Raw genomic sequence first — 27,743 nt, 5'->3', positions numbered from 1 at the left:
AAAGAAAACTCTTGTTATATAAAAAGGGTATTGGGTCTGACAGATAAGAGCTCCTGCACTCTACCAGCCAGCTACTGACAGACATAGGTCTGGCTCCAGTGGAGGGGCAGCAGCCAGTGAGCCCAGCCTGGGGTGGCCCACTCCTGCTGCCTCCAGGATGTCCCCTGTTTCCCCAGCCCCTCTGCTGTGCCCTCGGCCCCAGAAGCTGGCGAGACTGCTTCTCTGGAACAGCATCACGCAGGCCTGCCCATCGGCCCACTGTGCACCAGGCCTTCTGGGGATACAGATGTCAACCAGGTGGGGTGCTCAGGAGGGGCACAGAAGCCAGGAATGACAAACACATCAGCCACCAGGCAAATGGGAAATGTGCCCCAGAAGCTCCCTGCTGAGGATGTTAGGGAGAGCATTCTGAAGTAGTGTGGTTGAGATGAGGCTTGAGGAAGGCAAGGCTCCAAACAGCAGGGCAGACTGGGAGCAAGGTAGACTGCATGGGAGGGCAGCTGATGGAGCTCCTTAACCCTCTGGAATTGCCCCAAAGCCAAGCAAAGTGTTCTTCTTGGGGTCACAGCTAGCTCAGGGATGCCTTCTGCCCCTTGGTCAGAGGGGCAAAAGGTCAGAGCCTAGGGTCACCAAAACCTCTGGGAAGCCCCGGGGGTCTCAGGCCACAGACCATCCTCAGAACTACACACTGCCCTCCCATGCCTGGCGGGGGCCCTGGACTGGCCCTCACCAGCTGTCTTCTTGCACTGGCCAGGGTTCTGGCTGGACTGGCAAGGAGGGGTGGTCAGATACAGGAGTAACTGGATCCCTTCATCAGGACCTAGGGTGGTGAGAGCTTTGAGCCTGCTCTGCTCCAGGCAGACATTGTGTCTGGCCCTGCCAGGATGGATAGACAGCAGGATGTTACACGTTGAGGACATGAAGGTCATCAGGAATGTGGCTGGAATCTGTTAGGCCTCCCCCAGCCCAGGCGGGGGCTGCCAAGTTTGGGCCTATCCTCTGTTCCTCTCCTTATTTGGACCTTCAGGTGATAAGGCTGAGACATAAAGGAGGCTGGGCCCTGCCACCACGACAGCAGCCACACCTCTGCAGAGAGAATGGTGAGTGCCTGCTGGGGAAGAAAGGCTAGCGGTCTCCCAGGTGCTGGCCTTTGGGCTGGGGGAGCAGAGTTTTCTGTGCTTGTGTTGGGTTGAGGGTGGTCCCCAGGGAGAGGAAGAGGATCCTGGCCCTGGCTCTCCTGGGAATGCTCTGGGACTGTGCATGATGGGTGGGGTGGGGAGACTCTGAGGAGTTGGGGAGAGGACCCCTCCCTACTCACAGTGTTGCAGGCCAGCAGGAAGGCGGGGACCCGGGGCAAGGTGGCAGCCACCAAGCAGGCCCAACGTGGTTCTTCCAACGTCTTTTCCATGTTTGAACAAGCCCAGATACAGGAGTTCAAAGAAGTGAGTGCCCACTCCCAGTAGCCTCAGATCCCATCCTGGCCCCCCCACCCCACCCCACATACATACCCCCCTTCTACCCTGACCTTGCCTCTCACACCACCCAGGTCTCTCCCCCACCTCCCACCTTCCCTAGAGCTGGGGGCTGCTCCCACCTGAAGGCCCCCATCCCACAGGCCTTCAGCTGTATCGACCAGAATCGTGATGGCATCATCTGCAAGGCAGACCTGAGGGAGACCTACTCCCAGCTGGGTGCGTGCACCCACCTCCCACCCTGCGCACTGGGGTCCCTACTCTGAGCTGCTGGGCGGGTGGGAGTGGCTGGGGGGACAGGACTCTGCTCCCCTGCTTCCCCTCCTCCCCGTCTCCTCACACTGCCCTTCCCCCCTTGTCACGCCTTGCTTCCACTTCACCTTCCCGACCCACAGCTGCCTCTGCCCCTCCAGCCCCTGTGGCCAGGATGGAGGGAGGGCGGCCTGGGCCTTCTGGGGGACACCCAGGGTCCCTGTGTGCACCTCATGCCCCACCCCCACCAGGGAAGGTGAGTGTCCCAGAGGAGGAGCTGGACGCCATGCTGCAAGAGGGCAAGGGCCCCATCAACTTCACCGTCTTCCTCACGCTCTTTGGGGAGAAGCTCAATGGTGAGCCTGGGACAGAGCTGGGCACCCTTGGCCAGGCAGGGAGCCTGCACCCTGCCTGAACCCCACCTGAACCCTGCCTGAACCCCACCTGAACCTTACATGAACCCCACCTGAACCCTAACTGAACCCCACCTGGACCCACCTGGACTCTTCCTGGCCATGACCCATTCCAAGCACATCCTCTGCCCCAGAATCCCATGTGCACTGGTCACCCCAGTGCTGACTTGGAGCCAGGAAATGTGCCTTCAGCCCCCACCCCCAAATTCCAGTCTCCCAGCCAAGCTGCCCGCCTCAGGAGGATGACCATTCCCAGCCCCACTGATCCCCGAGAAACATTTTATGTTAGGGAATACCCCCACCTCTTCTGGGATGTGGGAGGCTCCTCATGCAGCCCAGTTCCTCCTGCGGGGGACCTGGGATGCTGGAGACATGGATGCTCACCTGGCTGCCTCGGCCTTCCAGGGACAGACCCCGAGGAAGCCATCCTGAGTGCCTTCCGCATGTTTGACCCCAGCGGCAAAGGGGTGGTGAACAAGGATGAGTAAGTATGGGCCCAGCCAGATGAGGAGCACCGTGGTGGAAGCAGAGAGCGGGGTGAGGCCCCTAGTGAGGGGGGCTGCCTGTGCTTCGGGGCCTTACACTGCTCTTTGGGGTGCAGCCAACCCTTCCCTGCGCCATGGGAGCCTCCGTACCCACCTTCCCTGTGCAGTCACTCCCCCGCAGTCTCCTGCTCAGACCCTCCTCACCCCCCAGGTTCAAGCAGCTTCTCCTGACCCAGGCAGACAAGTTCTCTCCAGCTGAGGTGAGGCTGCCCAGCCCCTTCAATACTCATCCCCAGCACCTTCTCTGGGCCTTCACCCATGACCCAGAGCCCAGTACCAGTGAGGCAGTTGCTGGAAGGGTGAGCCGAGGGCCCTTCTGGAGGAGGTGCCATCTCTGTTGAGACCTAGAGGGTAAAGATGTGGAGTCAGAAAAGAGGGCAGGGTGCGCCAGGCAGGGAGACTGTGCACAGACCTGGGGGGAAGTGGATAGGGAGAGGTTTCGTACACTCGGGGTGGGCCTGTGCCTGTGGCTGGAGGGGCGTCCTTTGCCTCTTGGCCCACATTTGCACTGACTCCTCACTCTGCCCAGAGTCAGCCAAGAGAAAAACATTAACCCAGAGTCTGGGGTCTAGGGTTGAAAAGCTAAGGCAAAAAGCACAGATGCAGGGGGCAGACAGAAAGGCCACAGGACTCAGGTGAGGTCTCTGCCGGGCTGGGCCAGGAGCCAGGGGACTGCCACTCACCAGTGTCCCCTGCAGGTGGAGCAGATGTTCGCCCTGACACCCATGGACCTGGCGGGGAACATCGACTACAAGTCACTGTGCTACATCATCACCCATGGAGACGAGAAAGAGGAATGAGGGGCAGGGCCAGGCCCACGGGGGGGCACCTCAATAAACTCTGTTGCAAAATTGGAATTGCTGTGGTGTCTTGTCTGTGACAGATGGGTTGGGGACCAGCCAAGGGGGATCCCAGGGTCTCAGTGCGCACATCACCATGATCATGGCCACCATCTACCTCCTGGGAGCTGGCCCCTCGCCAGCTCACCTTGATTCACTCCCATGATGCCAAGTGAAGTGTGAACTATGATCATGCCTAGTTTACAGATGAGGACACTGAGGCCCAGAAAGTGTGAGCATCTTACCAAGGCCAGCCCTCTAGAAGAGGAGATGGTGGGATTTACACCACCTCCACCAAGCCCAGGAATGAGCCACAAAGTGGGCACTGCCCAGCTACTTGGGGCTGTGCAGAGAAGAGGCTGCTTGCTGGGCACTCAGCAAACTCTGCCCAACAGCCCAGCGGGTGGGCAGCAGCCCTGGGACCCCCACACCCAACCACACAGCCTCCCCTGGCCCACTGCTCGCACCCCATCTCAATACACTGGCTTGGGTGCCTCCCTGCATGGGCCCTTTGTGAAAGGCAGAGAGGTACCCATTTGAAACACAACCAGCTTCTCATTGCAAATACAGGCAAGGCACTAAGACATGAGGAACATGGACACCAAAGCAGGGGCCAGGTAACATGCAAATTTCTAGAGGAAATGCCCAGAACCTGGCATCATGCCTCCTGAGCCCCTCATGCGCCGTGAGGGGTAAGAGGGTCAGACAGCTGGAGTGTAGGGAGACGACTTCTCAGGAGAGAATAGTTAGTGCTCCCGTCACCCTTCATCTGAGAACCCAAGAGCTAGAGGAGAAAGTGATCCTCATGAGTACCAGAGGAGCAGCAGGGGACATCCAAAGCACCAGAGAGAGAAACAGAGACAGAGAGACAGGCAGTGACAGCTCAAACCTCAGCCAGATCCAGAGCATACAAAGTCTCCTGCCTACAGGACAGCCCAGTAAGAGCTCTCAGCTTGCCTCCTTCCCTCCCCACAAGCCCTGCTGCAATCCCTGTACCTGGGGGTCAGTGGGAAGGAGGTGAGCGAGAAAGGAGGGGCACCCCTTCCTGAAGGCCCCAAGAGGAAAGGCGTTTTCACCCAGACAGGTGTTCAGTTTTGATTTTATCTGGCGCCTGGCAATTTAATTACTAAATTGAAACTTGAGACTTTCTGGAATTATGGCATTTTCTGTTGCTTAGAGAGATTACAAAAGTCACGAACTGCCTGAGTTTCCATCCTGAAAGCAGGCCACCAGCCCACTCCACTGACCATGCTGGAACAGTGGATGAACAAAATCAAGTACCATTAGGATTCTACCACATGAGTCTGCTTGTTCAACAAGCTGATTTCATAAAGTAAGGGATCATGTTATAATCCAAGCTCTACAGGGGTAAATTGTGAAAGACTAAAATGAACCAAAAAGATCATAGGTGTCCAGTTATCTGATTTGATGGGGTGTCTGAACCTTTTGTTATCTTTGAGCTGTTTCAAAACTCTCTAAATTATTATTATTATTTTTGAGACAGAGTCTCTCTCTGTCACCCAGGCTGGAGTGCAGTGGCATGATCTCAGCTCACTGCAACCTCCACCTCCCAGGTTCAAGTGATTCTCATGCCTCACCCTCCCAAGTAGCTAGTATTACAGATGGGCACACCTTGCCTGGCTAATTTTTGTATTTTTAATAGAGACGTGGTTTCACCATGTTAGCCAGGCTGGTCTCGAACTCCTGACCTCCGTTGATCCACCTGCCTCTGCCTCCCAAAGTGCTGGGATTACAGGGGTGAGCCACCGTGCCCTGCCACAACTCTAAATTATAACTAATAGCAAGGCAATGGTTCTTCTCTATTAACGTGCAAATAAATGTTGTCCAGTGGAAGCACAACTGATTTTTCCCTTCTCTGTGGAAGAAGCCAATTTTGCATCTATTAAGCAAATTCATCTGGGCATTCCTAACCGTCTACACATGCACCGGCTCTTTGAATTCTTCTCTGAACCAGGCCCAGGAATAAGCCACAAGATGAGCACTGCCCAGCTCCTTGGGCTGTCACATCTTATTGATTCCCACATGAATTCACAAGTAAATAAAATATTTGGCGGTTGTTCACTTAGTATGCAAGTCAATATTTTGCTTTAAAAATATTATCCTTTCACACTCCTGATATAGTTGTCTGATAAGGTTAGTCCTTCCCACACCAAAACTGCCTGTATTAGTGTTGTTTGGAATAAACTGAGGGTAGAATGTATATGGTGTGTGTATGTGGTGTGTGTGTTTGTGTGTGTGTGTGTGTGAGAGAGAGAGAGAGACAAAAGAGAGAGACAGAAGGATAGAGAGAAACAGATGGGCACAGACCCAGGACATGAGTTCAGCCTACACTGACCAATATGACAGCCACTGGCCACTTGAAATGTGGTGTGAGTTGGGATATGCCAAAAGTGTAAAATGCACACAATATTTTGAAGATTTCATACAAAAAAGAATGCAAACATCTCATTAATAACTTTTATATAGATCACATGTTGAAATGATAATGTTTTGGATATTAGATTATTACTAAAATTAATTTCACCTATTTCTTTTCACTTTTTAAATGTGGCTACTAGAATATTTAGAATTCCATAAGTGGCTTGCATTTCTGGCTTTCACTCCTGTTGGAAAGCACTGAGTTAGACTGTGTAGTACGTCTATTTAAGACTGCAGTTTCCAGGCCGAACACCGTGGCTCACGCCTATAATCCCAGCACTTTGGGAGGCCGAGGCGGGCAGATCACCTGAGGTCAGGAGTTTGAGATAAGCCTGGCTAACGTGGTGAAACCCTGTCTCTACTAAAAATACAGAAATTAGCCAGGTGTGGTAGTGCATGCCTGTAGTCCCAGCTACTAGGGAGGCTGAGGCAGGAGAATCTCTTGAACCCAGAAGGGGAGGTTGCAGTGAGCCAAGATCAAGCCACTGCACTCCAGCCTAGATGACAGAGCAAGACTCCATCTCAAAAAAAAAAAAGTAGAATAAAAATAAATAAATAAATAAAGACTGCAGTTTCTGGGAGACTCTGAGGCAGGCATTAGCCTTCTCTGCAGAGAGTACTTGCAGCAGGGAGCAGCAGTTTTGATGTCCTCAAAAGGAGCCAATTTCATTTGGGTAGGGTTGCCTCTGAGTATTCTAGCAGTACAGACAGAAAGGAGAGAAGGCTGTTTCCAGAAAGCAGAGATCATACGAATTACTTGTGAGACCAAACTTGTTCCTCAGGTGAAGCTCAGGCATCCCTTATGTGGAGTGTCTAACAGTCTACACCTGAGGATGTTGGACATAAGGGGGTGTGAGGTGGGCATGGCTGGGGAGAGCTCTGGGAGGGGGAAAACCAGCTCCATGTTGTCCACCCACTGAAAGGAAAGCTCCCTCTGGGGGAGGTAGATGCCCCCTGGCCAGGCCTGCAGGGCCCTGCTCACTGTGAGCCCTGTGTGGTCCTGGCCTGGGTCCCACCAGCCATTGCCAGGCAACAGCTCCCAGTTGGAAAACAGAGCAAGGCTCCCTCTTAGAAAAAAAAAAAAGAAAGAAAGAAAAGAAAAGAAATACAACAGGTAACTAAGCATGACGGCTCACGCCTGAAATCCCAGCTACTTGGGAGGCCAAGGCAGAGGATTGCTTGAGACTGGGAGGTTGAGGCAGCAGTGAGCCAGGATTCTGCAATTGCACTCCAGCCTGGGTGACAAAGTGAGACCCTAGTAAAAAAAAAAAAAATAGAGACAGAGAAAGAAAGACATGCAACAGGGCCAGGCGCAGTGACTCATACCTGTGATCCCAACACTTTGGGAGGCAGAGAAGGGAGGATTGCTTAAGACCAGGAGTGCAAGACCAACCTGGGCAACATGGCAAAAACCCATCTCTTCAAAAAATAAAAAAATTAGCCTGTTGTGGTGGTGCGCACCTATAGTCCCAGATATTCAGGGAGCTTGAACCAGGTCCAGGCTGCAGTAAGCCATGATCGTGCCACTGCACTCCAGCCTGGGTGACAGAGCGAGACCTTGTGAGAAAGAAAAGAAAGAAGGGAAGGAAGGAAGGAGGGAAGGAGGGAAGGAGGGAGGAAGGGAGGAAGGAAGAATATAGGACCCAAAGGCCTAAATGCCCCTACTGTGCCCCAGTTCTGCGTGACTCAGGACCAGCCTCCTCCACACTCCCACCACCACAACCCTGCACCCTACTTGTTCCTGGGGGCCCCAAGGGGAGCCTCACCAGAAGCCTCCTCATAAACCCACTGCCCCTTACCTTTCCTGTCTTTCTAGAAGCCTCAGAAGCCTTGCCACTCTAAGGACACCTCCATCTGAGCCAAGGCGCTCGCTCCAGATGTCCCAGAGCTCCTGGTCCTGGGTGTCCCTGCCACACAACCCCCCATGGAGCCCTGCTCTGGCTCAAGCCCCCTGACTGTGCATGAGCAGGCCTGTTGCCCTCACTGGGACTGTCCAGAGCCTTCCCATCTCTCTGGAGGGACTTCCATCAGTTTCTGCCCCTTCTCCTCTGCCAAGAACTCACGTTCAGTCTGATAGCAGAAGAATCATCTGGCACCCTCCTGAATGGAACCCAGAGTACCTCCTTTGTGGACCGGTCTCTGGATTTTCCCCACTCTCTCCCTTCAGCCATGCTGATGGCAGAGAAGGTAAGAACTTCCAGCCCACTTCTCTGGCGAGGGGAACTTGTCATCTGGGTCTGCAGAGAAGGTTCCACCTTATGCTCATAGTACATTATCTTTACTATGTACTAGGATATCACATTTAAAAGGACAAAAAAGGCCAGGCAGTGGCTCATGCTTGTAATCCTAGCACTTTGGGAGGCTGAGGCAGGTGGATTACCTGAGGCCAGGAGTTCAAGACCAGCCTGACCAACATGGCGAAACCCCATCTCTATTAAAAATACAAAAATTAGCTGGGTGTCGTGGCATGTGCCTACAATCCCAACTACTTGGGAGGCTGAAGCAAGAGAATCACTTGAACCCAGGAGGCAGAGGATGCAGTGAGCTGAGATCGTGCCACTGCACACCAGCCTGGGCGACAAACCGAGACTCCATCTCAAAAAATAATAATAATAAAATACAACAAAATAAAAGAACAAAAAAAAAGAAATGTAAAATACTTGAAGGGGCTTGTATAACATTAATAGGATTGACAGTATCTGCTTTCCAGGCTGAAGTGATTCATTCATTATTCTAGACGTCTTTAGTCCTTTGCAATTTGTGGTAATTAGGCTTTTCTTTTTAACATTAAAAATATACAAAAATAAAAGGCAAAAAAAGCATCATCCCATTAGTCTGACCTTCCCCTCCTCCATCCCTGCCCCAACACCCTGAAGACCCTGGATGCAAACAAAGGCCCGAGGGAGCCTCTTCCCTCGCAGTGCAGGCCTCACCTGGGGCTCAGAGTCAGAATCTGCATTTTATTCCCTAGGACAACCTCTAGTCAGGGCAGAGGCCGGCTGTGCTGCCCAAGTGCCCTAACCCTAGCTTTGAGGCACCAGAAGGGCAAATGCAAATTAAAAATGAGAATAAGTTTATTCTCCTTGGTGAAAAAAAAAAAAAAAGACTTTCCCCTCTCCTTTTTCTTTAGAAAATCTATCATTGCAAGTTCCTTCCTGGACTTTTTTTATGTAGATCTGTTCAAAAGCTAAATAAGCCTCTTTCAAGTTTCACATCCCAGGAATGTCTCCTTAAGGACCTAGGAGCCACCATTTGAAGTGTAATCACCAAGGGAGATACATCCTTATCTCCCAGTTTCCGTGGGCAAAGGGGAGCCTAACTTTAGCCCGGTGCCTAGCTCAAGTTGCAAACACACTTCCAGTCTTAAAGGAATGAATTTATTTTTTTTCCTTTAGGCAAACCCAGGTAGCCACCACAGTTACCTGGGGATTCACAGAGAACTGTGTGTGACCACTGGTGCTGTCAAGTCCTCTTACCTGAGCACCTGTGACGTTTCCCTTGAGAACGTGTACGGGATGGGTTGCACCTGGTTATATACAAGCGTGAGACTTCTTTCTGCCTTTGTAATTTATTAGCAGATTATCTGTGATGAGCATCGCAATCTGTTTAATGCCTATTCAATAATTAAATTTTTCTTTCTCTTCTTTTGTGGAAAGGTTTTCTGCATTGGCAGGAGATTTTTGTTTTCGATTATGTCCCCAACATGCCTGATGTTCCACCCCTCAAGAGCCTCAGCCTTGCCCAGGGAGGGCATGGGGGTGAGTGGCCTCTCCCACAGAGAGTGCTGGCCAAGTTGGCCCAGGTGCGCAGCAAGGGCTGCTGCCCAAAGGCTCCCTCCTGGTTGGCATGGGTCGGGACCCTGTTGTGTTGTGTTTTCGCTCTTTTTCGTAGAGTTCAAGGGGGTCCTGCTATGTTGTCCAGACTGGTCTTGAACTGACCTCAAGGGATCCTCTCGTCTCAGCCTCCCAAAGTGCTGGGATTACTGTGCCCAGCTTTGTGTTGTATTTTCTGATCTTATCCTGCAACCTCTTGAGCCCCCAACCTGGGCCCCAGTTCCTGCTGTGCCCCAGCCTGCCAGCCCTCTCTCTCTGCATATTCTTTCTTTAGCTGAGTTAACACCACTGATAAGGTTAAAGACAGGCTCTTAAATTTCTGCCCTGGCATGAGAAATATGTGACCCACATGCTTCTCCAGCTTAGCTGTCCAGTGTAACTGTCAGGGACTGATGGGCGCGTGCTGGCCCACAGCCCACCTCAGTCCTGACCCTCCCTGACAGGCTGAGAGAGGCCCCAGCCTGAACCTGGACTCCCCCATGTTCTGATATTCCTGCACAAGAGTGCAGAGGCCTGGTTAAGCTGGAGAAACATAAGGAATAGGTAGGTCTGCACACACTCACCTCTTCCTTTGCAGTGAACCTTCTAGAATCTTCTAGATGGAAAAGCTGGGGGTGTGGAGGTGTAGGGATAGGACAGCTGGGGGAGGCCTTGGCCAAGGTCAAGGAGTAGGCCCAGTCTCCCTCTCTGTGTGCCTGTCTGGGACTCGGTTTCCTGTCTGTGAAGCAGGGCTGGACGGGATATTGACAGCACCTGATGGTCATTGAGCTCCTCTGCCCCAGGCACTCAGCTGCTGGGCACAGTGCACACGTGGCAGTCCGGTGCCCTCTCACGCTCCGTGATGACTGAGTCTGTAGTTACACCCCTGGCCTCAGAATAAAGACTACACTTTCTGCCTCCCTCACTGGCAGGTATGACTAGGTGTGGTGGCAGTTTTCTCCTTAAGAGACAGATGTTTGTGCCTCCCTCCAACCCGCTGGCTAACACCTAGCTGGCACACAGCCTCCTGGGGCTATGAAGATGAGGGCCACAGCCACAGGGTGGGGGAGCCGTGAGCTGGGTCTGGCTGCGTCTCTGACATATGGGGGCATCACACATCACCTCTACCTCCCATCGAATGCTACACGAAGAGAACAAACTCCACCTGATGGAAGCTGCTGTTGTTTGAAGTCTTTCATGCTCACAACAGAACCTAACCCCAACCAATACAGTATGAGTATTGGCCCCACGTGGTTAAGCAAGCTGTCCAAGGTTACACACAGCTGGGAGGTGGTGGAGCTGGGTTTGAGCCTGTTATTGACCTTTGTGCAGACAGACCTCAGAGCAGAGCACAAGGCAGCAAGGCTGTGGGTCTGGGGCTCCCTCTCCAGGAGAATCAACTGGCTGCACACAGCCTGGAGAGCCCATGGGCAACCTGAGTCCTTGCACCTGGAAGTTTCTGTGTCCCACACATATCCAGGAGCTTAAAATGAAGATGTCTGAATTACCCAACCTCTTGATAGCACCAACCCAACCTTCCCAGCCTCCTCTTCTGAGGTCAGCCCAGAGCAAGCCCCTTGCAAAGCTGATTTAACTCAGAACCACTGGGCATACCCACAGGGCAGTGACCCTGCAGCCCTCGATCAAATGTGCAGATGGACTTGGGGGTGGGCTGGTACCCCAGATGGCCTCATTCTCCCAGGGTTGCAGAGCCCCTGAAAGCCACAGCCCTGTGTGCACACCACTGGGGAGTCATCACAGGATACTTCAAGAATTCAGTGCCAGGCAAGGTGGCTCATGGCTGTAATCCCAGCACTTCGGGAGGCTGAAGCGGGCAGATCACCTGAGGTCAGGAGCTAGAGACCACCCTGGTCAACATAGGGAAACCCCATCTCTACTAAAAATACAAAAATTATCTGGGCGTGGTGGCGGGTGCCTGTAATCCCAGCTACTCAGGAGGCTGAGACCGGAAAATCGCTTGAGCCTGGGAGGCAGAGGTTGCAGTGAGCTGAGATTGCACTGCTGCACTCCAGCTTGGGGGACAGAGTAAGACTCCATCTCAGAAAAAAGAGTTCTGTGTATCATTTAATGTGGAGATCCTCCCATCACGAGGATGAGGCTGTTTCTCTACTCCCCAGATCTGGGCTGGCCTGTGGTTTGTTGACCTCAGCCTTGTAGTTCTCACTTTCCTGGAACCTGAATGCCACCACGCGACATCCATAAGACAAAGCCCAGGATAAAAGATCACTTGGAGAGACAGGCCTGGCCTGGCACCACCCCGGCTGAGGCTGGACCCCTGGGAAGGAGACTCTGATGGACCTCCAGACCCAGTCAAATGACCACTTCCAAGGTCAGGCAAGAAGGGACAAAGAGCCACTGGCTCAGCCCACAGCATCTGAGAAATAAGAAACCGCTGCATTTTTTGAGCCAGTAAGATTTGACAGGTTTGTTTTGCAGCAATAGATGAGTGGTACCTCATCTTAGCCCATGTTCTGATGAAGACAAACAGTAGCATTGACAAAGTTTTAAGAAAAGTTAACCAAAAACTGGGATTCCTTTCTTCATTTTGACCCTTTGTTACAAGAAACAGAGGCCCACCCCACCAGACTCACTGTTCACTGGTCCCTGAGTGCCTGTGAGTCTCAGTGGGAGTTACCTTGAGACCAGCCCTTCTGAGTGGAGGGTGCTGGGTGCTGAGGTCAAGTCGAGCTCAGTCCAGGCTAAAAGGAGAGCAGCTCTGGCCAGGCTGTCAGGGCTGTGGCCTCCCCAAGAACCTCCTACCCTGGCCCCTCCAGGCTTTGCTGCTATGGTTGTGTGAGGGGAGTTGCTGTCCCAGCATTCTGGCCCCCTTGCCCCCAGCCCCTCCCTGACCTCCACGGGCTTCAGGCCTCAGTCCAGAGTCACCTCCTCTAGGAAGCCATCCCCCAGTGCAAGTCTGGGCAACATTCCTCCTTGCCTGGCCCACCTGCTCACTCTCATGCTATGGCTTTCTGTAAGCAAACACAAAGATAGGAACAACTCTGTCCCTGGCACAGAGCAGATGCTCTGGCAATATCTCATGAGTGAATGAAGGCACATGACAAACCTCCAGACCTGTGGAGACTGAAGGCTGAGAGCCTTTATAGATGCTGTGGGGCCGAGGAGTTTGCCAACTACAGCAGGTCATGCCCAGAGGTTTCTCTCTGGGTAGCAAGGTGTGTCTCCCACCAAAGGCCATTGGCATGGGGCCCGCCCTGCTGACCCGAGGCAGTGCACAGCAGAGGCCAGATGCAGTGAGAAGGAGCCTCTCCTTGGCCTGCTGTCTGCTGCCATGCCTGTGGGGGCGTGGACACAAGTGTGTGGCATAGAAGGTGGTGTGGCAGGTGAGAGGTTGGGGGTGTGTATGTAGCAGGTGTCTGTGTGTGTATGTGCATGTGGGGGTGTGTGTGCATGCATGTGTGTGTGTGCATATGCACGTGTGTGCATATGCATGTGTGTGCATGGAGAGAGAAGACCTCCTCTTTCTGGCCCCTCTCCTAGCTGCCCCCCTCCCTCCTGCTGCCAACACACTGTCAACCCTTCACTGTCTTTTTCCTTGGGACTCGTTGATCTGTCTCTACCATCCCAGGTGTCTGGAGCAGCCTCTAACCTTCCATCTGCCAAGGTACTTCAGCCCCACCCCTCCCAGCTGTGGAATGTCCCCTAGGATGTGCCACTGACACAAAGAGCCACACAGCTCCAAAATAGAATATTATCTAACCCACTGCTCCCTTTGCTGTCAGCAACACCTCCACCATGCTTCTCCCAGGACCCCCCTTGAACTCTCTGCTTCCTCCCTGAGGCCAAAGGAAAGACAGGAAAGGGGCCACCTTCCTGTCCTTGGGTCCCACAGAGATGTATCCTTGTAATGAAACCTACTTTATGCTTGAGTTGTATCCAGTTAGTTTCTGTGGCTTGCAATCAAGACCCACACCCACCTCAACCCAGGCTCTAGAGAGTAGACCCTTGTTTTTGCCTGGCTTGGGTCGACCTGGCACCTGCCAGGGTCCCAGCCTCTGAGTCAGCCCACCTTGCCCTCATCGGTGCCACCTCCAGGCGGCTGTACATAGACTCTGGCTTCTGCCCTGGCCTGGCCTCTGGGAACTGCAGCTGTCTGCTTCCATCCTATGTGGATGGTGCCTGAAAGTGAATAGGGATCAGTTACCAGCCCAGTATCTGTCCCCTTCTCAATAGCACTGATTCCTATGGGGAACTGCTTTTCTTGGACTATGTATGGGTTTGGTGGGAGGGTAGTTCCTGTAACCAACCCTACAGGGTGTAGGAACCTAGACTCTCAGCAACATAACAGGCAGCAGGCTCCCAAGCTAAGTCTGGCCAGCTGGGCCACCTCTCCCAGATTCTGTTTCATGAGAGCATCATCCAAGAGCAGTGGGAACACTGGGGACGGTCCAGCCTAGGACTGGTATGCAGATCAGAGAATCCCAGATAGAAGGTGATTGCTGTTCTTCCAGTTTCTTGGCCCTCCAGAGCAACCATACTTCCCATCTGCCCCAAAACCTGATCCTCCAAACTCCCACCATTTCTGTGCATCCCCAATATCTAATAGATCAACTGCCTTTCATTTACATTTGTCACAACCAAATGATACACCTGCCCTTCACCCACTACTGAACTGCAGCTGGGTTAGTCCAAATTCAGGGCCCACGTGTCATTTCAAGCCTGTCTTGAATAATGTACACCTTCCTGCAATGTGAGGATGGCCACCACCTTGGTCTTATACCCACGGGTGTCCTGAGCTACATTTCTCATAATCAAAAATAAACTCAACACATCACTCCAGCCTGAGCAACAGAGCAAGACACTAGCTCTAAAAATAAAAAATAAAAACAAACAAATGAAAAACCCAGCAAACTTGGGGAAAGAGGAAGCACCTGATTTCCAGAGTTTCCACATCATGAGATGCAAATGTCCAGTTTTCAACAACAACAACAACAACAAAAAAAAAATCACAAGGCATACAAAGAAATAGGAGACTAAGACCCACTCAAAGGAAAAGAATAAATAAGCAGAAGCCATACCAGAGGAAAACCAGATGGCTGACTTACTAGACAAATACTTTAAAACAACTGTCTTAAAGATGCTTGAAGAGCTAAAGGAAAATGTGAACAAAGTCAAGAAAGTGATGGAACAAATGGAAATTCCAATAAAGTGATAGAAAACTTTTTGGAGTTTTTTTTCTTGGTAGCAAAAAATTATGAAGCTGAAGAATACAATAAATTCCCTAGAGGGCTTCAAAGGCAGATGTAAGCAAACTTGGCCAGGTGCAGTGGCTCATGCTCATAATCCAGCACTTTGGAAGGCTGAGGCAGGAGGATTGCTTGAGCCCAGGAGTTTGAAACCAGCCTGGGCAACATAGAAAAACCCTATCTTTAAAAAAACTTATATAAAATTTAAAAATTATAAAATTTATTTAAAAAATCAGCAATTTGAAGACTGGACAGGGAAATTATCAAATTTGAGGAACAGAAAGGAAAAAGATGGAAGAAAAATAAACAGAGCCTAAGAGACCTGCGGGACACCATCAAGCAGACTAATACCCATTGTGGAAATTCCAGAAAGAAAAGAGAGTGAAGGACCAGAGAGATTATTAGGAGAAATAATGGCTGAAAATGTCTCAAATTTGATGAATGACATGAATATGAACATTCAAAAATCTCGACAAACTCCAAGTAGGAAAAACTCAAAGATACTCATACTGAGATTCATCATAATCAAACTGCTGAAAGCCAAAGACAAGGAGACAATATCAAAAGCTGCAAGAGAGAAGTGACTCATCACATACAAGGGATCTTCAAAAAGATTATCAGATATCTTGGCTGGGCACGGTGGCTCACACCTGTAATCTTAGCACTTTGGGAGGCCGAGGCAGGTGGATCACTTGAGGTCAGGAGTTTGAGACCAGCCTGGCCAACATGGCAAAAACCCATCTCCATTAAAAATACAAAGATTGGTGAGGCATGGTGGTGCATGCCTGTAATCCCAGCTACTCGGGAGGCTGAAGCAGGAGAATCACTTGAACCTGGGAGGCGGAGGGTGCACCAAGCCAAGATCGTGCCACCACTGCACTCCAGCCTGGGTGACAGAGTGTGACCTTGTTTCAAAAAAAAAAGAAAAAGAAAAAGAAAAAAAAGATCATCAGCTATCTCATCAGAAACCTCAGAGGCCAAAAGGCAGTAGATTGATATATTCAAAGTGCTAAAAGAAAAAAATAAATCTGTCAGCTGAGAATCCTGTATCTGTATCTCACTTAACCATTATTTTAAAATAAGGGAAAATGAAGACATTCCCAGATAAACACAAGCTGAGGGAGTTCATTATCACTAGATCTGCCCTGCAAAGAAAGCCAAAGAAAGCCTTTCAGGATGAAATGAAAGGATACTAGACAGTGACTCAAAGCTGAATAAAGAGGCCAGGCATAGTGGCTCACACCTGTAATCTCAGCACTTTGGGAGGCTGAGATGGGCGGATCACCTGAGGAGTTGGAGACCAGCCTGGCTAATATGGTGGAACCCCATCTCTACGAAAAATACAAAAATTAGCCAGGTGTGGTGGCACATGCCTGTAATCCCAGCTACTTGGGAGGCTGAGGCAAGAGAATCACCTGAACCCAGGAGGCGGAGGTTGCAGTGAGCCGAGATTGTGCCACCGCACTCCAGCCTGGGTGACAGAGTGATACCCTGTCTCAAAAAAAAAAGCCGAATAAACGAATAAAGATCTCATCTATGGCCGTACCACCCTGAATGTGTCCAATCTCAGAAGCTAAGCAGAGTTGGGCCTGGTTAGTACTTGGAGGGGAGAAATAACGGTCTATGCTAAAGGAAAATTCAGGTGCAATTAAAGTAAAATTAATTATATAAAAGAGAATACATTAAAAGCTAGTATTATTGTAACTTTGGTTTGTAATTCCACCAAGTGGAATTTGTTCCTGAAATGCTAGAATGGTTCAACATAAAAATCAATAAATGTAATAGACCACATTAACAGAAAAAAAACCCACACGGTCATCTCAATTGATGTCAAAAAAGTATTTGACAAAATTCAACACTCTTTTGAAAGAAGAAAAAGCTCAACAAACTAAGAATAGGAGGAAACTACCTCAAATAATAAAATCCATAGGCCAAATCCCCAAACTCACAGCTAGCAACATATTTAATGCTAAAGACTGAAAGCTTCCCCTTTAAGATCCGGAATAAGACAAAGATGCCCACTTTCACCACTTCTACTCAACATAGTATGGGAAGTTCTAGCCAGAGTAATCAGGTAAGAAAAAAGAAATAAAAAGCATCTGAATTGGAAAGGAAAAAGTAAAATTATTTGTTTGCCCAATACATGTACAATGTTTCAGGTGAAGGCTCAGAACAGTACAACCTTACCAGCAAGAGTCCTGCTGTCTCTGTGTGAATCCCAGCTATTACTCACTAGCTACATGATCTCTCTTGCCCTCCCTGCCTCAATTTCCTCATGTGTAAAGTGGGAGAAAAATAATAGTTCATGCTTCAAAGGTTTTTTGTTTGTTTGCTTGCTTTGAGACAGCGTCTGGCTCTGTCGCTCAGGCTGAAGTGCAGTGGTGCAATCTTAGGTCACTGCAACCTCAGCCTCCTGGGCTTAAGCGATCCTCCCACCTCGGCCTCCCAAAGTGTTGGGATACAGGCGTGAACCACTGTGTCTGACCCAAAGGATTATTTGAGGAGCAGATGAATTAATGTGTCATAACCTCAAAGCAGTTGCAAAGGCGTTTAATAATTAAAATATCACATTTTAAATTAAAATATAAGGCTGGGCGTGGTGGCTCATGCCTGTAATCCCAGCACTTTGGGAGGCTGAGGTGGGAGGATCACTTGAGCCCAGGAGTTCCACACTAGCCTGGGCACCATTGGGAGACCCTGTCTCTACACACACACGCACACACACACACACACACACAAACTTAAAGTAGCCAGGCGTGGTGCTGCGCGCCTGTTGTCCCAGCTACTCGGGAGGCTGAGGCGGGAGAATCACTGGAGCCTGGGAGTTCGAGGCTGCAGTGAGCCGAGATCGCACCACTGCACTCCAGCCTGGGCCACAGAGCAAGACGCTGCCTCAAACAAACAAACAAAAACAAAAATTAAAATATTAAGTAATAATTAACGAGTGTTAATATCCACTCGTTGTGGAGACAAGACCTGGACTTAGGAAACAGGCCCAGGGAAGTAGCAGAACAGTAGCGCTAGAGGACGCCTGGGAGAATCAGCGCGCGGCGGGAAGAGCCCGGGAAGCTTAGTGGGGAAGCGTCTCTTGATGGGGTGAGGAATTCTATAAATTAGTGGAGATGGAAAAAAAAAAAAAAAAGTATTCCCAAAGTGGGAGACAGCACTCAGAAAGACGTGGTGGTAAGAACGAGTATGAGTAACGGGGACAACGAGGACACTGGAGATTGGGGAGTGTTGGGCTGGAAGCTGGTGTGCAGCTGTGGGCAAGCTAGGGAGGACCCCGAAACCGCCAATGCGTTTCCCGGACGCAGACGCTGGCAGGACGGGAGGAACCCCGAGACCCCGCGCCATCCCTTCAGGAAGAGTTACTTCTCCCCGGCCAAGTTAGTGGGCCTTGGGCCTTCTTTCTGTTGGGATCCTCCTCGCGTGTCGCCATCGCTACAAGTGGGCAGCTCTGCGGGGAAAGCTGGGACGCTGGGGGCTTCACCAAGGAGGCTGGCGGCCGACCACTGGGAGGTCTGGCGGGGTGACGACCACTGGGAGGTTTGGGCAGGGCCTGACGGGGTGACGCGGTCAGCCCACTGGAGGCCGACACCCCCCGTCAGCCCAACCCCTGCACGCGCGGCCGCCAACCAAAGACCCGCGGCGCCGGCCTGCGAGCCCCCGCCCCGCGTTGCCCAGGAAACCGAGGGTGTGGCTCCGCGTTCTCTGGGCGTCCCAGGGACTGGGCGCACAGTGGTCGGCGGGATGAGGCGCCTGGTGACGGACGGGGCGAGGAGGGCAGCGATTGGTGAGATTAGGCGATGGGCGGGGAAGCCGCGCGGGGATTAGCGAGTTGCGGCGATGGGCGGGGCAGGCGCGCGGGGATTGGCGGGATGCGGCGCGCCGCGCGGTGAGTGGGGTCCAGGGAAACGGGGTCAGCTGGGGGTGGCAGTTCCAGGCCGCGAGGCCGGGCTCCTGGGTCGGTGGGCTGGTGTCTTGGCGGACGTCCCGCAGCTGCCGCGTGGATCCGAGCCGGGGCACCCGCCGTGACTGGGACAGCCCCCAGGGCGCTCTCGGCCCCATCCCGAGTAGCGCGGCCTGGCTGCTGCCGCCATCAAGCACGTTCGAGCCAAAAGCTCCTAACGAGTCACTCGTTAGACACGTGTGCGGAGCCTGTGTCCCAGGCCAGTGCTGTCCCGTGGAGATAGATTGCAAGCCGCTAGGGAATTTTTTAACTTTCTAGTAGGTGTACGAAAAAAGTAAAACGAAACAAATCAATTGGAGTAAATCCATAAATATATTCAAACTATTATTTCAATTGTATGTGAAAAAATTATTGGGATATTCTTTGTACTATTCTTAGAAATCCATTGTGTGTCCAACCCAAACATCACAGTTGGACTCACCACATCTCCTGTACTTCGTAGCCCTAGGTGGCTAGTGGCATAAGACACAAAAATCTCAGCTCTCCTGGAGCTTATGGTCTAGTTGGAGCAGGCAGACAATACATTTAAAATATACAGTTTGTTAGAAGGTAAATGTTGTAAACAACAATAACAGTTGAAGTACTGGGGAGAGTTGCAGTTGTAAATCAGATGGGCAGGGCACAAGGTAACATTTGAGTAAAGATGTAAGAACTTGAAGGAGATGGGCAAGTGAGCTCTATAAGTATACGGGAGAGGGGCAAGCAAGAGTTCAGAGGCCCCTTGCTGTGGGGAGGGATCCAAGGTGGAGGAGTGGGAACCAGGAGGGGAGAGGACCAGTGGAGCAGATCTCATAGGCAGTTGTAAGGACTTGGGGCCTTATTCAATGAAATGAGGACACTTTGGAGAGTTTTGAACAGAGCAGTGACTGATTTATGTTTTGGTTTTGGTTTAGTTCTATTATTATTTAATAATAGGCTTATTATTTCACAGAAGTTTTATTTAATAAGGCAGACCTCTTGTCTGGAAATGAGACAGGTGCCGGAGAGCTGGATGGAGGCAGATCGGGAATTCCATTTGGGGCAAACTGAACTTGATTGAGACCCTGGTAGTTGTCCAGATGGAACAGGACACCTGAGTCTAGGGTTCGGGAAGAACTCCAGATGGGACAAACACTCCTAGCTTTCCTTTTCTCTTTTTGGATGACCGCTACAGGGTGAGACATCGGTATCCAGGCACGATAAATTTCCAAGTGGACACAATGTCTGGTGTCAACTACAGCTGTTCTCCTTCTTTTCCCAGTATCCTTTGGGTGCAGTGAGACACCAGGAGAGCTGCTGCTTTGGGGGATGGACAGGGGCAGCAGGAATGCCTTTGTGTTTTCGCAGTGAACCTCCTTGGCCTGGGCGAAGCTGTGTGGACCAAGCAAGTCAGGAGTGTGGCCATGTTTTCTGAGCAGGCTGCCCAGAGGGCCCACACTCTACTGTCCCCACCATCAGCCAACAATGCCACCTTTGCCCGGGTGCCAGTGGCAACCTACACCAACTCCTCACAACCCTTCCGGCTAGGAGAGCGCAGCTTTAGCCGGCAGTATGCCCACATTTATGCCACCCGCCTCATCCAAATGAGACCCTTCCTGGAGAACCGGGCCCAGCAGCACTGGGGTAAGTGAGAGTTTGGGAAGGTGCTTCCCCCACAGCATCCCTGAACTTAGAAGTGTTCTGCAAGAGAATGGGAACAGTTTATCTAATTGATCCCACTTCCTGTTACCTTGGGAAAATTAACCTCTTTTTCCCTCAGTTTCTTCTTAAGATAGTAACAAGGATTAAATTAAGTAATTTGTGGGTTTGGAGTTAGTTTTAGTTCAGAGGCTGGTTGGAGATGAGGACTTAGTTCTGGCGGTGATGGCGATTACTTCACTGGCAGAGGAAAATGGTTTTCCTATCTTCAGTGCAGATTATTCAGGTATTTGCCTGTGCTGTAGCCAGAGAGCCCCTCAGTGTGGCAAGCCTGGCGCCAGGCACCAGGAGCCAAGACTGGTGAGGATGCACTCTCTGGTCTCGAGGGGACCCCCTCTGTTCACTCATGTCTGTTTGCCTCTCCTCCTGGCCCCCATATTTGCTGGCCATGAATTTTCCTGTCCCTTGGGCCCTCTGTCTTTCCTAATAAAGTGGCCTGCCCAACACAACCCTTGTTCTTTGCCCCCATTTCTTCCCTGGTGATCTCTCCTGCAGTTGGATTACTCTTGGTGGTGAAGCAGGGACCCCCATCTCCCCCTTTGAGTTTATTTGAGTTTTAGGTGCTGCTGCATTCCCCCATTCCTACCACTTACATAAGAGTGGCTTTCCAGGTAATTTTCAAATCCATCTCCTATTATATTTTTAAACTGAGGATTTAGTAGGTGAGACCAGGTCTTACTCATTTTTACTGTCCTTGGCACCAGGCAAAATGGATCTCAGCCCTAGTTGCACATTGGAATCCCCTGGGGAGCTTTGAGAAGCCCATCTCATCCCATGCCAAGCCAAGATCAATTCTCGTTATAGGCAGGCAGGAGAACCCTGGGCCTAGAAATCTAGCTAGAACCTCAAATTCATTAGGGATATGTATTAGTCCATTTTCACATTGCTATAAAAAACTACCTGAGATAGGGTAATTTATAAAGAAAAGAGGTTTAATTGACTCACAGTTCCTCATGGCTGGGGAGGCCTCAGGAAACTTAACAATCATGGCAGAAGGTGAAGGGAAAGCAAGGCTCTTTTACATGATAGCAGGAGAGAGAGAGCAAGGGGAACTGCCAACCATTTTTAAACCATCAGATCGCATGATGGCTTGATCTCACTCACCATCACAAGAACAGCATGGGGGAAATCCACCCCCACAATCCAGTCACCTCCCACCAGGTCCCTCCGTCAACACCGTGTGGATTATAATTCCAGATGAGATGTGGGTGGGGACACAGAGCCAAATCATATCAGGATGTTTTCTGTTTTGTTTACCTGAGACAAAGTGCTGTTCACCTCTCCTCTCCCACATAATCAGGGGCTCCCTCCTGCGGCTCCGGTAGCTTTTCCTCACTTTCCTTTCAGCCCTCGGGACACCTTCCTTGGCTCCTTTCAGAGCTCAGTTACTACTTGGGCCCAATGTCAATGCCACCTTCTAGATTCTTTCCGGCAGCACCTCCTCTGGTCGCACATTTCTCTTCCAGTTATTGGAGCTGTCAAAAAAGCTCCCCAGTGATGGACGATAGCGATTTCACTGTGCTCACAGACTGGTCAGGAAACCAAACAGCTGCCACAGTGAATGTGTTGATAGCAGCGGGGCAGCAGTAGCACTCGCTCACAGGCCTGGTGGTTGGTGCTGGCCCCCACCCTGAATACCTACATGTGGCTTCTCCATGTGGCCTGTGCATCCTCACTGAAGCTCAGCCTGTCTCTCCAAATTGGTCTTTCCACTCACCTGTTCCCCAAACCTGCCCAGACCTTCCTGCTGTAGGCTTTTCCCTTCACTTGGCACACTCTTTCCCTTGTCTTCCCATGGCCCCATCTAAGCCCCACTGTCAGCTGAAGTGTTATATTCTTTGAGGGGCCACCTGAAGCCACCTTGCAATGAGGGCCTCCGTTTTCTACCTCAGCTCACCATTTGTTCACAGCACTTGTCACTGTGGCGAGTTACTTGTCTATGGCCTGTTGTCGTTCTCCTGCCTAGACCCAGTGGGCTGAGTGGGGGCAAGTGTTGGCTTTTATGTCCAGTTTTGATCTTGGTGCCAGCACATTGCCTGGGTGGAAGCATGTCCTACTATCGGTTACAGGGATGTCATTCTGCCCAGTGCTCAGGGGCATACACTTGGATCCCAGTTGTGTGCCCTTGGACACATTGCTTAACCTCTCTGTGCATCAGTTGGGTGATAATATCTACTCCTGGCACATTTTCAGCGTTGGCTGAGTTACATGTACAGTGCTTAGGCCACCTGGGGGAGAGTAAGAGTGGGATACGTGAGGATGTGGAGTCTGTTGCATTTCTGTCTGCTGCTGGCATCCTTCTTGTCTTGTTTTGAGTTGCTCGCCTCTGTCTGCTCCCTAGGGCGTAGATTTGAGGAATATTCCTGGTTCTTCCCAGGCAGCAGGGGCTCAGGCTGTGCTGGAGTCAGCTAGGCTAAGGGGCTGGTCTGGCATCCGCGTTGTCCTGTCACCTCCTTGGTGTTTTCTCCAGGCCTGGATCTGTGCTGTGTGGGCACCTGTATTCCTCCCTCCTGCCCTCACTGATTCTCCATACCTTTCTTCTCGAGAGTGCCAAGCCCCTCCCATGTGTTCTTGTTCATACCTAGGATCCCGGGAAGGGGCTGGGGAAGACGGTGCCCAGGTGCCCTGGGTAAACAAAGCCACCTGACTCCACGGGAATGGAATGGGTGGAGGGGATCTGAGGTCTGCATTTTGAGTATCTCTGGTCTCAGAGGATGAAGCATTTGGTGGGGGTTGGGGGTGGGGGGTAGGGTGGAAGAATCTAAAGTCTTAAAAGAAAATGGCAGTTATTTGTGGGACAGGGCTGTGTTGAGACTTGGCATGCTTCTTTTTAAGAGTCAGTGTTGTAATTTAGGTATAAGTGAAGCAGTACTTTGTATTAGTTTCCTGTAGGCGCTGTAACAAAGCACCACAAACTGGTTGACTTAAAACAACAGACATGGCCGGGCACGGTGGCTCACGACTGTAATCCCAGCACTTTGGGAGGCCGAGGCGGGCAGATCACAAGGTCAAGAGATTGAGACCATCCTGGCTAACACGGTGAAACCCTGTCTCTACTAAAAATACAAAAAAAAAAAAATTAGCTGGGCGTGGTGGCACACGCCTGTAGTCCCAGCTACTCGGGAGGCTGAGGCAGGAGAATGGCGTGAACCCGGGAGGCGGAGCTTGCAGTGAGCTGAGATCGCGCCACTGCACTCCAGCCTGGATGACAGCGAGACTCCGCCTCAAAACAAAAACAAAAACAGAAACAACAATAACAGAAAAACACAGACATTTACTCTCTGGCAGTTCTGGAGGCCAGAAGTTGAAATCCAGATGTCAGCAGGATTGGCTCCTTCTGAAGGCCCGAGGGGAGGGTCCTTCCTGGCCTCCTCCCTGGTGTTCCTGGGCTTGTGGCCGCATCACTCCGCTCTGCCCGTCTTCACACTCCCTCTTGTCTGTGTGTCTGTCTCTCTGTTCTCATGAGGACACTTGGCATCCAGGGCCCAACCACACCCAGAGTCCCTGGTCTCCTGTGGCTGACTCACTTTTTACTGTCACCGTGAAGTCCAGGGGGTCCTTGTACTTGATGTTCTCTCCTGGCAAGGCCAGGGCCCTGTGATTGGCCTCTCATGGAGTGCTGGGCAGGGCCTCCATGGCCTCTGTCGGGCGGGGGGGCTACTTCATCTCTGAGTCTGTACCCCTCGTGTCCCAGGCAGTGGAGTGGGAGTGAAGAAGCTGTGTGAACTGCAGCCTGAGGAGAAGTGCTGTGTGGTGGGCACTCTGTTCAAGGCCATGCCGCTGCAGCCCTCCATCCTGCGGGAGGTCAGCGAGGAGGTGAGGCAGGGTGCTACACAGTGGGGCCGCCAGGCAGACCTGGCCTCCCACTAGAACACCTCCCTGGAGGTGGGGTTGTGGGGAAGCAGGTTCAGAGACAATGGACTCCAGAGGGGTGGGGGCTGCGGTGCCAGCTCACTAACACCAGAGCTTTGGTGGGCTCTGGCCCCAAGATTATACCTCCTGTCTCTGCATTCCAGCACAACCTGCTCCCCCAGCCTCCTCGGAGTAAATACATACACCCAGATGACGAGCTGGTCTTGGAAGATGAACTGCAGCGTATCAAACTAAAAGGCACCATTGACGTGTCAAAGCTGGTTACGGGTAGGGAGCCCAATGAGAGGATGTGGGTGATGCAGGTGAAGAGCCCAGCGGTGGTGTGTTAGGGATGGTGTGAGTGGGGAGCCTGGGGGGAGTGGGGGGGTGTGGCCTGGGCACACGTGTGTTCTTGAGGAGGTAGGTGAGGCTCCAGGCGGTCGGAGGCCATCAGATTGGGTGAGACCTGGCTGGGAGATGGGTCTCCCCACCTCCATCCAAGGGCAGTGACTCCAGGAAGCAGGCATGCATCCTGGAGTCCTAGGTGAGAATTCACCAATGTGGTTGTGGAGAACTGGCTTGTTTTGCCCGTTGGGGTGACTGGAAGGAGTGGTAGCACCTGGGGCTCCCTGCTCAGGCCTGATGCCACTGCTCCCCAGGGACTGTCCTGGCTGTGTTTGGCTCCGTGAGAGACGACGGGAAGTTTCTGGTGGAGGACTATTGCTTTGCTGACCTTGCTCCCCAGAAGCCCGCACCCCCACTTGACACAGATAGGTGAGCAGCAGTTCTCGGGAGCTGGAACCAGCTCATGGTCAGTGGAATCTTTGAGTTGCACCTAGGAGGGGCTGCCTCCCTTCTCGGCACCCTGGAGGACCCCACCTTCTCCCGCAGGTTTGTGCTACTGGTGTCCGGCCTGGGCCTGGGTGGCGGTGGAGGCGAGAGCCTGCTGGGCACCCAGCTGCTGGTGGATGTGGTGACGGGGCAGCTTGGGGACGAAGGGGAGCAGTGCAGCGCCGCCCACGTCTCCCGGGTTATCCTCGCTGGCAACCTCCTCAGCCACAGCACCCAGAGCAGGGATTCTATCAATAAGGTATGGAGCCCACCTGGCTGCATTCAGCCCCAGCCCAGGAGCCTGCAAGCCTGTAAGACCCTCCTTCCCCAGGGCGAGTAGGGTACCCTGTGAGGTCTCGCAGGTCGGTGGGAAGCGCCCTGCAGTGACTCTGGGGCCTCCTGCAATGGGGCTCCTCATGCCCAGGCCCTCGCTGAGGATGGTGGGAGGCTTGAAGGGAGTGAGGGTCTATGGGACAACAACTGCATCTTCCAGCTGGTGGGGCTCTACTCTCCTCTGAGCCTGGGACTCGCCTGGGCCTGATGGCCTTCTGGGCTTCTATTCCAGGCCAAATACCTCACCAAGAAAACCCAGGCAGCCAGCGTGGAGGCTGTTAAGATGCTGGATGAGATCCTCCTGCAGCTGAGCGTGAGCGAGCTGGGGGCTGGAGGGGTGATGGGGATTGCAGTCTTCAAAGCTGCCACTGGGCAACAGAAGGCAGGCAGGAGGGCAGGGGGAGTGGCCGGAGTTGGTGTAGGGGGCTCCTTCGGGGCCCTGTGAGCTCTCCCTGCCCTGTGCCTTCCAGGCCTCAGTGCCCGTGGACGTGATGCCAGGCGAGTTTGATCCCACCAATTACACGCTCCCCCAGCAGCCCCTCCACCCCTGCATGTTCCCGCTGGCCACTGCCTACTCCACGCTCCAGCTGGTCACCAACCCCTACCAGGCCACCATTGATGGAGTCAGGTAGCTGGCACAGCCACACTTCAGTCTGACCCAGCCTTTTGCCTCAGGAGGCACAAAGAAGGGAGGGGAGGGAGGGCCCAGGAAGGTGGCAGGGCTGCAGAGGCCCACCTAGCATCTGTTCCTTCTCTCTGGGGCATCCCCACAAGAGCGCCAGATGAGCTCTGGGCTGACCACTATGGGTGGCACCCAAAGCCAAGAGTCAGCTGAGCTTTGCCTTGCAGATTTTTGGGGACATCAGGACAGAACGTGAGTGACATTTTCCGATACAGCAGCATGGAGGATCACTTGGAGATCCTGGAGTGGACCCTGCGGGTCCGTCACATCAGCCCCACAGCCCCTGACACTCTAGGTAACAGGCTCAGCCATACAGGGTGGGAGCAGAGGGCCAGGAGGCCTGGCAGGACCCTGAAGTGCACAGGGTCCCCCTGTGGGTTTGCACTTGCCAGCATTGCTGAGAACTGTCTGAGGAGAAGTTCAGAGGCTTGGCACCTGCTCTGGAAGCTACTCTGGAATCTTAATTCTAAGGCCAATGGCTGCCCACCCCAACGGGCAGCAACAGCAGGGCCAAGGTCTTGTGACAATGTCTGGAGGTGCCCCTATTGTCACACTGGGGGTCTCCTACTGGCCTGCAATGGGAGGAGGGGCTGCAGCCCCACATCCTGTGCAGAGTGCTAGTGCTGAGGCGGAACCCTCCTCAGAGCTGCCCCTTCTCCTCCAGGTTGTTACCCCTTCTACAAAACTGACCCGTTCATCTTCCCAGAGTGCCCGCATGTCTACTTTTGTGGCAACACCCCCAGCTTTGGCTCCAAAATCATCCGAGGTAATTTTTGTCTTCTGGGGGCCCAGGCTGATTTGCTGATTTGCTCTCACCTGGGGACAAGGTTCACAGAGAAGAAAACCTGCATTGTGGAGTCCCCCTGGCCCTTGTGGGATGGACAGCTGAGGTCTTCTGCACAGCTGCCATTTCACTGTGGGAGCCAAGCTGCCTCGCCAGCTGGGCAGGGACTGGAACGGCTCCCAGCCTGTGTGCCTCTCAAGGCTAATCTCTGGTCTCCTATTGTCACTGCCCCACTGTGTGCCAATGGGGACTCCTGTTTATTTCTGGCAGCTTCTCTTTGAGGCAGGACTTACTTGGAACCTACAGTGGGTCCTATGTGACTTCTTTGCAGGTCCTGAGGACCAGACAGTGCTGTTGGTGACTGTCCCTGACTTCAGTGCCACGCAGACCGCCTGCCTTGTGAACCTGCGCAGCCTGGCCTGCCAGCCCATCAGCTTCTCGGGCTTCGGGGCAGAGGACGATGACCTGGGAGGCCTGGGGCTGGGCCCCTGACTCAAAAAAGTGGTTTTGACCAGAGAGGCCCAGATGGAGGCTGTTCATTCCCTGCAGTGTCGGCATTGTAAATAAAGCCTGAGCACTTGCTGATGCGAGCCTTGAGCCCTGGGCACTCTGGCTAT

The 27,743-nt window shown here is 52.3% G+C and overlaps 2 protein-coding genes and 1 pseudogene across 15 annotated transcripts, besides 6 other annotated features; all 3 read left to right on the top strand.

Annotated features, from left to right (window-relative positions):
* Window positions 1,071-3,539, top strand: MYL7 (myosin light chain 7). 6 transcript variants are annotated; one of them, NM_021223.3, is made up of 7 exons: window positions 1,071-1,100; window positions 1,329-1,442; window positions 1,616-1,691; window positions 1,976-2,080; window positions 2,543-2,621; window positions 2,834-2,882; window positions 3,381-3,539. In NM_021223.3, the coding sequence occupies exons 1-7, from the start codon at window positions 1,098-1,100 to the stop codon at window positions 3,480-3,482; spliced, it is 528 nt and encodes a 175-aa protein (NP_067046.1). In that variant the 5' UTR covers window positions 1,071-1,097; the 3' UTR covers window positions 3,483-3,539. The 6 variants fall into 6 exon arrangements, with proteins under 6 accessions (NP_067046.1, XP_011513766.1, XP_024302619.1 ...); XM_011515464.3 differs by having other exon boundaries at window positions 2,834-2,981; XM_024446851.2 differs by having other exon boundaries at window positions 1,547-1,691.
* Window positions 1,417-2,259: an enhancer, noted in NCBI's record as "H3K4me1 hESC enhancer chr7:44179743-44180585 (GRCh37/hg19 assembly coordinates)". NCBI's record gives its function as "activates a minimal SCP1, AML or CMV promoter by ChIP-STARR-seq in primed H9 embryonic stem cells {active_cell/tissue: H9 hESC(primed)}" and the evidence as "EXISTENCE:reporter gene assay evidence [ECO:0000049][PMID:30033119]".
* Window positions 3,417-3,917: an enhancer, noted in NCBI's record as "H3K4me1 hESC enhancer chr7:44178085-44178585 (GRCh37/hg19 assembly coordinates)". NCBI's record gives its function as "activates a minimal SCP1, AML or CMV promoter by ChIP-STARR-seq in primed H9 embryonic stem cells {active_cell/tissue: H9 hESC(primed)}" and the evidence as "EXISTENCE:reporter gene assay evidence [ECO:0000049][PMID:30033119]".
* RNA5SP230 (RNA, 5S ribosomal pseudogene 230) lies at window positions 16,530-16,651 on the top strand (annotated as a pseudogene).
* Window positions 17,769-18,673: an enhancer, noted in NCBI's record as "H3K27ac-H3K4me1 hESC enhancer chr7:44163329-44164233 (GRCh37/hg19 assembly coordinates)". NCBI's record gives its function as "activates a minimal SCP1, AML or CMV promoter by ChIP-STARR-seq in naive H9 embryonic stem cells {active_cell/tissue: H9 hESC(naive)}" and the evidence as "EXISTENCE:reporter gene assay evidence [ECO:0000049][PMID:30033119]".
* Window positions 17,769-19,169: a biological region, named in NCBI's record as "H3K27ac-H3K4me1 hESC enhancer GRCh37_chr7:44163329-44164233".
* On the top strand, window positions 18,078-27,723 carry POLD2 (DNA polymerase delta 2, accessory subunit). 9 transcript variants are annotated; one of them, NM_001256879.2, is made up of 12 exons: window positions 18,855-19,224; window positions 19,944-20,121; window positions 20,208-20,569; window positions 24,339-24,460; window positions 24,661-24,784; window positions 25,156-25,270; window positions 25,388-25,586; window positions 25,893-25,973; window positions 26,131-26,288; window positions 26,510-26,637; window positions 27,007-27,108; window positions 27,458-27,723. In NM_001256879.2, the coding sequence occupies exons 3-12, from the start codon at window positions 20,350-20,352 to the stop codon at window positions 27,616-27,618; spliced, it is 1,410 nt and encodes a 469-aa protein (NP_001243808.1). In that variant the 5' UTR covers window positions 18,855-19,224; window positions 19,944-20,121; window positions 20,208-20,349; the 3' UTR covers window positions 27,619-27,723. The 9 variants fall into 9 exon arrangements, with proteins under 9 accessions (XP_047276456.1, XP_047276453.1, NP_001243808.1 ...); XM_047420500.1 differs by lacking the exons at window positions 18,855-19,224; window positions 19,944-20,121 and adding an exon at window positions 18,078-18,093 and having other exon boundaries at window positions 20,294-20,569; XM_047420497.1 differs by lacking the exons at window positions 18,855-19,224; window positions 19,944-20,121 and adding an exon at window positions 18,174-18,790 and having other exon boundaries at window positions 20,294-20,569.
* Window positions 18,190-18,249: an enhancer, noted in NCBI's record as "active region_25932". NCBI's record gives its function as "activates an Ori minimal core promoter by ATAC-STARR-seq in GM12878 lymphoblastoid cells {active_cell/tissue: GM12878}" and the evidence as "EXISTENCE:reporter gene assay evidence [ECO:0000049][PMID:35858748]".
* Window positions 18,460-19,169: a silencer, noted in NCBI's record as "silent region_18142". NCBI's record gives its function as "represses an Ori minimal core promoter by ATAC-STARR-seq in GM12878 lymphoblastoid cells {active_cell/tissue: GM12878}" and the evidence as "EXISTENCE:reporter gene assay evidence [ECO:0000049][PMID:35858748]".

Source organism: Homo sapiens, chromosome 7, assembly GCF_000001405.40.
Source record: "Homo sapiens chromosome 7, GRCh38.p14 Primary Assembly".
NCBI classification, from domain to species: Eukaryota; Metazoa; Chordata; class Mammalia; order Primates; family Hominidae; genus Homo; species Homo sapiens.
This window is presented reverse-complemented; position numbering and strand designations above follow the sequence as displayed.